The 12008-nt window shown below is 33.5% G+C and overlaps 1 protein-coding gene across 7 annotated transcripts in view; it reads left to right on the forward strand.

Moving 5' to 3' along the window:
* HOOK1 (hook microtubule tethering protein 1) overlaps window positions 1-12008 on the forward strand; it is a 61374-nt gene that overhangs the window by 8998 nt on the left and 40368 nt on the right. For all 7 annotated transcript variants that reach the window (NM_015888.6, XM_047422232.1, XM_047422230.1 and 4 more), the window contains exons 3-6: window positions 4834-4906; window positions 8217-8267; window positions 9459-9591; window positions 11399-11466. In NM_015888.6, coding sequence (NP_056972.1) covers window positions 4834-4906; window positions 8217-8267; window positions 9459-9591; window positions 11399-11466 — 325 coding nt within the window. The remainder of the gene's footprint in view (window positions 1-4833; window positions 4907-8216; window positions 8268-9458; window positions 9592-11398; window positions 11467-12008) is intronic.

Here is a 12008-nt window from a genome sequence, read left to right on the forward strand (position 1 = left end):
CTCTCTCGTTCTCTCTTTGCTTCATTCACTTGATTTTATATGTTCTTAGGTGTCTGAGCCTCCTTATCATCCAGGGGCTACTTTTTATTTATTTTCTTTTTAAACTCCTTTACAGTTTTGGAACTTTTCAGAAGTCTGGATCCTGGATAGTGAGACATAAAGCATACATTTTTCCTTAGTTGGACCAGTATGTCCTATTCCGATTAAAAGGTTAATTTTACCATATGTCTTTGAACATTTCAAAGCACTTTAAATATGTTACAATTTTTTTTTTTTTTTGAGATGGAGTCTTGCTCTGTCACCTAGGCTGGAATGCAGTGGTACAATCACGGCCCACTGCAACCTCCGCCTACCGGGTTCAAGTGATTCTCCTGCCTCAGCCTCCTCAGTAGCTGGGATTACAGGCGCATGCCACCATGCCTGGCTAATTTTTGTATTGTTAGGAGAGATGGGGTTTCACCATGTTGGTCAGGCAGGTCTTGAACTCCTGACCTCATGATCCGCCCACCTTGGCCTCCCAAAGTGCTGGGATTACAGGCGTGAGCCACCGCGCCCAGCTCAAATATGTTATAATTTTTAACATATTGCATTGATGACTATTGTGGCTGACATCGTGTCACATCAAAATTGTTACTGAAGGTTAGAAGAGAAATTCTGCTTTTTAAGGAAGCAGCAAAATTTAACCAATAGTTTTTTTCTATTTACTTGAGGCAGATATTTTTCCAAATAGTAATATCTTTATAAAGTGGTGTCTAAACTGTTTAACTTAGACATAAAGAGTCATGGAGTTATTGCTAGGGTTCTACAGTTTCTTAATTATTATCTTCAATTTGAATATGTAGCACATAACTCTCTTTTTCAAATGCATGTAGAAGCTTCAGTTATTTTAAAAACACATGGGAAAAAACTATACAACTGTGTTAGTTTCCTAGGGCCACTGTACCAAAGTGCCACAGACCAGGTGGCTTAAAACAGCAAAAATCAATTCTCTCACACTTTTGGAGGCTAGAAGTTCTAAATCAAGCTATTTTCTGGGCTATGCTCCCTCCAAAGCTTCTAGGAGACGATTCTCCTTTGCCTCTTCCAAATTCTGGTAGTCCCAGGCATTCTTTGGTTTGTGGCAGTGTATCTCTACTCTGTCTTCACATGGCCATCTTACCTCTGTCTGTGTCTCTTTTCTTATAAGGGCACCAGACATATCAGATTAGGGCCCATCCTAATTCATTATGACCTGATCTTACCTTTATTACATACATGAAGACCTTATTTCAATCACACTCACAGGGGATAGGACTTAAACATATCTTTTTTGATAGTACAGAACAACTGTAAATAGTGCGTGCCATATCTTCAAAAGAAAGGCTTAGCTTCTTCACTTTAAGCACCAGTTAACCTCTCTGTTCCTATTGTCTTTGACTAAACTTTTTTTTTGTAAGAGGGAGAAGAATGAGACAGATAATGTAGGATATTCAGAGACCTTAAGAATCATGCATTTATTTGCTTATTCATTTAGCAGATATTTGAGCATTTAACATGATAAACCATGATAGCCAACATCTGAATATATACTAAATAAAAGCATCATTATAGAACTTATTTGACTTTCTTTCATTTAAAATTTACTAGTTTAGTGAGGTAGATGTTATTTTTACCTTCAATTTATACAAGAGGACAGAGGTATAAGTAGTTGAAATTGCTTTTGGAAGTTAAATGATGAGTAAATAACAAAGCTAGGATTTGCATCAGTTTGGTCTGACTCCAAGTTCAGTGCTCCCAACCAGCTGTAATCATTGAAATGTACTGAAGTCATCCCAATAGATTTTTACTTTGCAGTATTAATAAAATGAAAGTCAGTTGTGTATAAAGTATAGATAGATGTCCATATAAGCATGGACATAAAGTGTAGATAGTTATGTGTACAGTATAGATAGATGTCCATGTAAGTATGGACATCCATCTATGGACATCTATCCATGGACATACTTACATGAACATCTATCTATACTTTATATACAACTGTCCAAAATATAGACCACAGTTTAATGGGTTAATAGAGAAGATTTCTGGATATTTCAAGAAGAATAGGCTCTGGGTATACATTGAAGTGACACAACTATATTGTTTATAGTAACTAGTAGGTATTTCTTACTACCTGAATTCAGTTGGTAAAACTGTGGAAGATAAATACACCGGATGGAGTTAAAATGTAGTAATTCTTACTTAGTTTTATTAGAAAATAATTGGACCATATTTTGGTTCATTAGTCCTGTGTCCCCTTTCTTATTTGATATCCCTTGAGTGTTATTGAAGTTCTGGGAAATATAAGAAAAGGAGCTAATTATTGGGTGCCAAGACTCTAAGGCATGTAGAGGTTGTAGAGGTTGCAGCGCAAAAGGAAAAAAAAAAAAAGAGATGCCCTGAGATTTCTGAGGTTGGAGATCAAGTTTAATAGTGGAAAAGGTTGACTGCCATTATAGTTGTTTGAGAAGGGTGAATTTGTGTATAAGAAAGCAGGAGATATATTTTTACTAAGTTAGAAAGTATTTCTCTGGGCTAAAGTTGATTTGAGATAGAAAGGAAGATGAGGAGGAATGTAAGACAAAAGGAATTATCTTGGAAAAACTAGAGAAAAATACATTACATCTAGATCCAATTTCTAAAGGTAATTATAGCATAGAATCACATACTTGGATTTTTTTAGGGTCAGTTAGAAGACTGGGGTGGTAGTCAGGGTTGTCCAGAGAAACAGAACCAGTAGAGGGTGAGTGTGTGTGTAATCTTTGTCTCAATATACACACATGTGCACACACATGCAGATTCTTTTTCTTTTTTTGAGACGGAGTTTCGCTCTTGTTGCCCAGGCTGGAGTGCAAAGGCACAATCTTGGCTCACTGCAACTTCTGTCTCCTGAGTTCAAGCGATGCTCCTGCCTCAGCCTCCCGAGTAGCTGGGATTACAGGCATGTGCCACCATGCCTGGCTAATTTTTTTGTATTTTCAGTAGAGAACGGGCTTCTCCGTGTTGGTCAGCCTGGTCTCAAACTCCTGACCTCAGGTGATCTGGCTGCCTCGGCCCCCCAAAGCGCTGGGATTACAGGCATGAGCCATGCGCCTGGCCCAAGATTTTTTTTTTAAGGAATTGGCTCATGTGATTGTGGAGGATGAAAAGTTTAAATTCTGCAGGGTAAGCCAGCAGGCTAGAGACTCAAAGGGCAGCTAGAGTTGGAAAGCCATCTGCTGGCACAATTTGCTCTTTCTTTGGGGGAGTTCAGCCTTTTTCTTAAGGCCTTCAACTGATTGGATGAGACCCACCCACATTATGGAGGGTAGTTTGCTTTATTCAAAGTCTACTGATTTAAATGTTAGTATCATCTAGAAAATATCTTCCCAGCAACATCCAGATGGGTTTTTACCAAATATCTGGTTACTGTGGCCTAGCCAAGTTGACACATAACATTAAACATCACAACTGGCGTGACTCCTCTGGTTAGGAGTTTTTATTACTTAATCTGATATAAAAAGGAAGTGAATTGGACAGTTTTGACTCATTAACTCGATTCATTCAGTCATTTCAAGTAAATACCTGGTTAGCAGTGTAGCATTTACACATTTAGATAAATTGTTTCGGTAATTGCAGACTTGGCATCTGGGAATAGTTGAGCACAACTAATATTAATCTGCTCAAAAGAAAATGGTTATGTACAATTATTATATGTTGATTATGAATAAAAAATAAAATGATTACAAATTCCAAATAAATGAATTGAAAGTAGTGAAGCCATTTTTTTTTTTCTTTTGGTTATCATAGCCAGAAGAGTTATCTTCTGGTTTTAGAACATATGAGCAGAAAGGTTTCAGTTTTGCGTTCTTAAATTCAATTTACAACCTTGGAAAAGAAGCTCTTTACTTTTTCCCCTATTTTAGTTGGCATACCTGTAAAGTAAGAATTTAGATGAGACCTTTAAGACCTCTTCCAGCATAAACATTCTGTGATTTTGAAGTTGTTTTACCCTTAGAACATTTATCACATTCTCCTTCGAGTATAGTTATTTGTGCTTTTTACTTTTCTCCTTTAATAACTACTTCTCTAAGAGTCAAAAGGGTAAATTATCTTCATATTAATCTTGCTCAATTCCTTACTCAGAGAAAGCATCTAGATATTTGTTTAGAATAAAGTCTATTAATGTAGTTCACTATATATAGTCAAATGTTGTTCTTCAAAACCTTATTAAATACACAAAAATTTAGTATAGCAATTCTTTGTCTTGGCCATCAGTATCAATATGGGACTTTGCTTTTCATTAAAACTAAACTTGTCTTTGTAGACTTCTCATTTAAACTCATTCTGCTTAATTCTACTCAGTTGAATAGATTAATTTTGGGCCTTGCCATGTGCTATTAATAGTATCACTCAGGGCAAATTACTTAGACTCTCTCATCCTCAATTCCCTAAATAGTAAGACTGGAAATAATAATGGAGTATTTGCCAAGTTACCATCATATTTAAATGAAATAACTTGGAACAATATCAAGTGCTTGATACAGAGTAGAAACTCATTAAAATGTTGGTTTTTTACCTCTTCACGGTTGTGACTTTTGCATCTTCCTGGTAGCAGGGCACCTAGTATTAAATATTTAGTAAATGTTTATTAAATTGAAGGTGCAAATAACTTAAATAACTTAATATGATAAATTATTGCTATATAAGTAATATTCAGTATTGTTATTAAGGATAGGCTTTAAGACATAAAGTAACTTTCTCTGTTGGCTCTATTTAATTTTTTGTGTAATAAAAACATTTTCATCTTTAGTATTTTTTTTGTTGTTGTTTCAGTGATGCAGCTTGGTTTAACGAATCTTGGTTAAGCCGAATTAAAGAGGATGTTGGGGACAACTGGAGAATAAAGGTATGCAGAACAAATGGGAGAAGCACTTGATCCAAACAGTGGTCCTAAAGTTAGCACTAAGTTAACCAAATCTGTTTTTCAAATTAACTTATAGTACTTTTTGTTGTGTATAGTTTGAGTTTTAACACATGTATTCTCTCATGTAACTACCATCATAATTAAATAGAAAATATTCCTATTAACCAAAAATATGCACTTCAGGCCCATTCTCTATTAATCCCTACCCCCAGCCTTGCCCTAGGTAGCTATAGATCTGTTTTATGTTACTATGGAGTTCATTTCTGGAACTCTGTATAAATTGAATCATATAATATGTACTCTTTTTGTCTAACTTCATTCACTCAGTGTAATTTTTCAGTCTCATTCATGTTGCCTGCATTAGTAGTTATTTCTTTTTTTGCTAAGCAGTATTTCATTAGACTGATATTTTGTGGTTTGTTTAGCTATTCACTTGTTGATGGATGTTTGAATTTTTAACATTTTTGACTATTGTGAATACAACAGCTACAAACATTCATATATGAATCTTTGGATAGATGCATATTTAATTTCTCTTGGGTGAATTTCTGGGTGGAATTGCTAAGTTGTATAAGTATGTGCTTAACCTTATAAGAAACTGCCAAACTGATTTTCTATTTTTAAGTCAGTTTTGTTGTGTCTTGTAGGACATTTGTTTCATACAGGATGTATGATTTGTTGATACACAGTCCTTAACTGAATTACTGTGCTAATAATGTGCTAATAACTGATCTTTAATGATGTTTCCTTTTCTTTTCCTGCTATTGGTTATTTGTGTCTTTTGAATTTATTTTCCTTGATAAGTCTGGCTAGATGTTTTTCAATTTTACTTATTTATTTTTTAAAGAATTAGTGTATGTTTTCTATTCCATTGATTTTTCTGATTTTTATTATTTCCTTTCTCTCACTTAACCTGTTCTTCTTTTTCTTGCTTCTTAAGGTGGAAGCTTAAATAATCAACTCTAAACCCTTTTTTCCCCTAATATTAACCACCATCTTAGCCACATCCCACATATTTTGACAGACTGTTACTTTATTTTCATTCAGTTCAAAATATTTGGTAATTTCCCTTATAAAGTTTTCTCCTTTGACCTATGAGTAAATTAGAAGTAGGTAATTCAAATTCAAAATATTTGAGGATTTTCCAGTTGCCTTTCTTTTATTTATTGGTTTCTAATAGATCTGAGACAATACTCTGTATTGAGAAGTTATTTTACATTTATTGAGTCTTATTTTATGACCGAACCTATGGTCTGTCTTGGTGAATGTTCCATGTGCATATGAAAACAGCATGCATTCTACAGTTGTTATATAAATATAGATTTTGTTAAATTTGTTGATAGTGGTATTTTCCATATCTTTATTGATATTTTTTCTTATTATACTATGTGTATAGTGTAGTATAGACTCTGTAGAGAGCCCTTAAATCTCTAATGATGATTTCGATTTTGTTGATTTCTCCTTTGCATTTTTTTGCTTTTTACTTCATGTATTTTGAATTTCTGTTATTAAGTTTATTACACACTATATTTCTTGTGTGTTCTTGAATGAATTCACTTATTATGAAATGCTTTTCTTTATCCCTGGTAATATTCTTTTATTTGAAATCAAATTAGCTCTAATATTAATGTAGCCACTACAGATTTTTTATGATTATATTTTTCATTAGTATTTCTTTTTCCATTCTTTTAATCTGCCTATGTCTTTTTATTGAAAGTGTTTCATGTAGACACCTAATAGTTGGGTCTTACATTTTTATCCAGTTTGACAATCTGTATTTGATTCTTTATTGTAAAAAACCTTCTATTTCTTACATTCATGTTTTTGTTCAAATCCTTGAACATCTTTAAACTAGAAGTTTTAACATTGTCTCAATTCTTTTATCTTTCATTTCTGAACCCATGTGTATTGACTGAGTTTTCTCCTAATTTTGGTTCCCACTTTCCTGCTTCTTCACATCTGTAGTAATTTTTTAATTGGATGCTAAACATTATGAATTTTATTATTGAATGCTGATTTTTTTTTTTAAGTTTTTTTTTTTTTTTCCTGAGACAGAATTTCGCTCTTACGCCCAGCCTGGAGTGAAGTGGTGCAATCTCAGCTCACTGCAACCTCTGCCCCCGAGGTTCAAGCGATTCTTCTGCCTCAGCCTCCCGAGTAGCTGGGATTACAGGTGCCCACCACCATGCCTGGCTAATTTTTGTATTTTGAGTAGAGGCGGGGTTTCGCCATGTTGGCCAGGCTGGTCTTGAACTCCTGACCTCAGGTGATCCAACTGCCTCAGCCTCCCAATTAAGTATATTCTTTTGAGGAGTGTTGAATTTTCTTCTTGCAAGCAGTTAAGGTACTTGGAATCAGTTTGATCCTTTAAAGGCCTATTTTTGGCTATTGTGGGGGGCAGAACTAAAGTTATTCTTTCCTTTAGGACTAAAGTAGACTCATTACTAAGCTGTGACCTTTTTGGGGGTCTTTAGTGAATGTTTTGTGCGTGTAGCATGGTGTCTTCATTCTGGCTAGTGAGAATTTCAAAAATTTTTTGGCCTGTATAATCTTTGGGAATGGTTCAGTTTATAGTTCCCTGGATTGTTATTTCTTTGGAAAGAACATTCAGTTTCACCCATCCACATGCAAACTGGTATTTAGCCAAAGAGTCAAAGGAACCATTTTACACAAATCTCCAGAGCTTGCTCATTCCATAGCTCCCATCTTTTCATCGTCTGCCTTGCAAATTCAAACTGCCCAGGCCTTCCTGAACTTCTAATGTCTTATCTCTTCAATCGGTGAGAACATCAGGCTTGGTGTTTGGTTTCCACCTCCCTATGCTGTAGTCTGAAAATTGCCTCAAGACAGAAAGCTTGTACTAGTGTAGGGCCCATTTTCTGTTTGTTTTCATTCTTTCAGAAAGCAGAGTTCTGTACTACTTACTTGTCTAAAGCTTGCAAACAATTGTTTAATGTATTTTGTCTTATTTTCTAGTTATTAGTGACAGGAGAGAAAATCAAAACCCAGTTAACTTGCTCATGACTGCAGCTGGACATGCCTGTGTATAAATTTTTACAGTGGGCCCTTGAGTTCATTGTGACCCACTTTAAATAGAATCACCCTACTTAACTAAACACTGATTAAATCTCTGATGGTTAAAAAGCATCATGTGTTTGTATTTATAGAACTCTATTATAATGTTTTTGTTGTTCTTTTTAATTAGGGGAAAGTTTTTATTGTCTTTCATGCTGACATAACTTTTCTTTCATTATTAATCTGAAATAAGAATCTCTTATTTTTTTCACATTAGGCCAGTAATGTAAAGAAGGTCCTTCAAGGAATTATGAGTTATTATCATGAGGTATGAAAACCATCTGACTTTGTTTAAATGCATCATGCTATACGAAAATTACTTTAAGACTGAAAAATCACTTGGTTTTTTGTTTATAATATTTTACTGGAATGTAAGTCATAATTAGAACATGTTTTATTGTCATTTTTATAGAATGCTCATTTGTGAAAATAAGCTTGGATATATTGATTTGTAAGATAACATTGCTTAGGTATTGATACTCTCCGAATTGATTTTCAAGTAGAATTACCTTCATCTTTAATATATTTGATTTTGTGCAATACTATAAAGTAGACTTTATAATTAATTGAAATAATTTTCTATTTAAAGCAATATTTTGACATTTCTTCCCAGCGTAAACAGTAGCAAAGACATAAATGAGATTATGCTCATACAAGTAAATTGGAAAAAATGCAAAATAAAAGTAGTATTATAAAGTCACTTTAGATAGTACATTAGTCAAATAGTTTTGTTTTTTCTTATTCAGCATCATAACAAGTTCTCTAGTAGGGTTTTTGATATAAGAGAGTTTATTGCTGAATGATTGGCAGCTTTTGAATGACTTTTCCATTAAAGAATTTTTGTTTCTATTCTTTAAAGTCGTCACACAATTAAACTTGTAATTTCTTCCCAAAATGTTTAATATTCTCTAAAATTTTTCAATTTATTAAATACCTAAAACTAATTCTGAAGCTGTTTTAATGCCAAGAACCCTTTTAATCAGCTAAAAAATAAGAAAAAGAAAGATAAGACCAGGAAAAAAAATTAATCCATTAGATTTGTTGCTCATTTGTAAAAGTACAGTGATTTACATTGTGTTTCTCTGTTAATTGATTATATATGAAAATATTATGAATATTCTTTGGCTTAACATATGCTTATTATTTAATGGACAGGCATAAGTTTTATCATAGTAGACTAGGCCAAGTGCTTCTTAAGTTAAATTCTTCTCTCTGACAGTGAAATCAAAGGATATTTGATGTGAAACCAAAAGGAAATATAGTGCTTTTGGTTGGTTACTCAGAATTTTGGAATGTTGCCTGAACATTGCTAACTGGTTTTAATAATTATTTATTTGTCATTTGTTATTTTATCTGAGTTGTTTCGTGAATTTATAATTTATTTTCATTGTAATATTAAATGTAGCAAATTCTTTGCAGCCGACATAAATGAGTGATCTAATTTATTTTAATATTGTAGTTTTTGGGGCAGCAGATTTCAGAAGCACTTATCCCTGATTTAAACCAAATAACCGAATGTTCAGATCCAGTGGAGCTTGGGAGGTTGCTCCAGCTTATTTTAGGTTGTGCGATCAACTGTGAAAAGAAGCAAGGTAAGTGAATTTCAATCATTTGAGGATTTCTACTTTCTAGAAACTTTCTACATTGCTATATAAGCTAGCATTAAATCATACTATTAAAGCTTGGCAGAAAGCACCCTGAAACGTAAACCAGAAGATCTGAATTCTAGCCCAACTCTGTCGTTGAAAAGTGGCATACCTTGAGTGTCCTATTTGTACCTGGATTCTGATATTCATATTCAGTGGCTAAATTAGATGTATTTTAGTTTAATTAGTTTAATATACCCAGTACATAAGACTTAGTGGATAGTCAATAAAAATTGTACTTATTCATTTGATACATTATGTCTATTTTACATGTAAGAACCTTATGTGGATTCAGTTTTCATAAATAAATATTCAGCTACTAATTTATAATTCAAGTTTCTTCAGATAATATTCTGCTCCATTCAGAAGCATATCTGTCCAATATATCCTCCAGATAAGTGGTCTAATGATATAAATGGAATTGATGCATTATATTGGTATATCCAAACACAGTGATCCATATTTTGCTGAGTACAAAAGGATCATATTTGGTTGCATGTAATGATGAATGATGAACTGAACAGGCCCAGACCTCCTTCCCTTGAGGGCTTTAATCCGTTTCGGTGGTGAGACTTTTGACGCTGATGTTTTTTTGCATGATTCATCCAAACTTGTTCTTAGTACACCACCTTTATGAAAGAATAATGTTGAGTGCTTAAGTTTGCAAAATGCAAATACTTCAAGCCAGGGCCTTGGAAAACATTCAACATTGTCTGACTAATGAAGAAAGGATATAAGCTGGGATAAATTTACCTACAAACTCTGAAAGGAGAAAAATAAAACAAAATACATGAAATTAATTGTAGTTTATCAATTATAAAAGGACAGTGACTAGGTGTCAGAGAATTTTTATATTAGTCCATCTCTACTATTTACTAGAAGTTTTTTTCTAGGACAAGCCAGTACTTCTCTGTAGGCTTTTATTTCTCACTTATAAATAAAGTTAAAGATCTGTATATTGGGTTTTTCATAAAAGCAGGGACATTTGCTCATGGAAGGTTAAAACTTCTCTAAATATTTAATCACAAATTGACAAGTAGTAATTTATTTATAAATCTAGTAATTTTTTGTTGTAATCGTGATTATTTTTATTTTTTCATTGATTAATGCTTTGTTAATATTTTCATTGCTGGTTATTTGTAACTTATTTTTGCTTAATTAATCTTAACCAGGTTTGTAAGTTTCGTTAGTCTTTTTTAAAGAGCCAACTTTTGGCTTTGATTCTATTTTGTTTTTACTATTTAGTTTTGTTGTCCTCTTTTATCTCATACGTTTTTCTTGTGAATTAATCAGCTGTTCCTTTTCTAAGCTATAATTGACATTTTAAGTGGTAATTTTGCCTTAAAGTGATTATTTTGTTGCATCCTAAAAATTTTAATATTATATGTAATATTTTCATAATTTACTTCTAAGCACTATTGAGCAATTTTGTCCAGTTTTAAAAGGAATTCAATTCCTAGATACATAACTTTTTAAAAGCTTTCACACTTTTGTATTTTGCTGTATGAATTGATTTTTAAAATGATTTCAAGGTACTGACTGCAACAATCTCAATCTTGAAAGAATGAATTCATTTGCTTAACAATACTCAGTTTATCTTGGTGAGGAAGGAAGACATACTGGTGGACAAATAATGTATTTACATAAAGGATTATCTGTGGGTAGATGAATTTTTATAGTCTATTAATTTGATGGCTAAGGTACTATGTGTAAAGAGTAGATTTTTTTCAGATTTGATTTTTTTAAATCATAGAACATATTCAAAATATAATGACACTGGAAGAGTCTGTTCAACATGTGGTCATGACTGCTATTCAAGAGGTAAGTTATATCATGTTCCTATGAGTATAAAAATCCTAAACCAAATTATACAAAACTTTTCATACTTTATGCTTTTCTTTTTTAAAAACTTGCTCTTTGTTGTAAGTTTACTTCCCCTTAGCTAGTGGGTCTTCCTTTTTTACCCCCAAAAATATTTTAAAAGGCCTTTAAGCCCAATTTTAGTACCTCTGCATTTTAAAAGCTGGTTAATAAATTAATATTATCAAGTCTCTTTAAATCAGTGGTCCTCAACCTTTTTGGCACCAGGGACCAGTTTTGTGGAAGACAATTTTTCCACAGACCCGGGGTGGCGGGCAGGGGGAAGGTTTTGGGATGAAACTGTTCCACCTCAGATAATCAGGCATTAGATTCACGTAAGAAGCGTTCACAGTGGGGTTTTTGCTCCTATGAGAATCTAATGCTGCCGCTGATCTATCAGCAGGTGGAGTCCAGGTGATAATGCTCTCTTGCCTGCCACTCACCTGCTTCTGTGCAGCCCAGTTTTAACAGGCCATGGACTGGTGCCAGTCCATGGCCTGGGG

Source organism: Homo sapiens, chromosome 1 (assembly GCF_000001405.40).
Source record: "Homo sapiens chromosome 1, GRCh38.p14 Primary Assembly".
Classification (NCBI taxonomy): domain Eukaryota; kingdom Metazoa; phylum Chordata; class Mammalia; order Primates; family Hominidae; genus Homo; species Homo sapiens.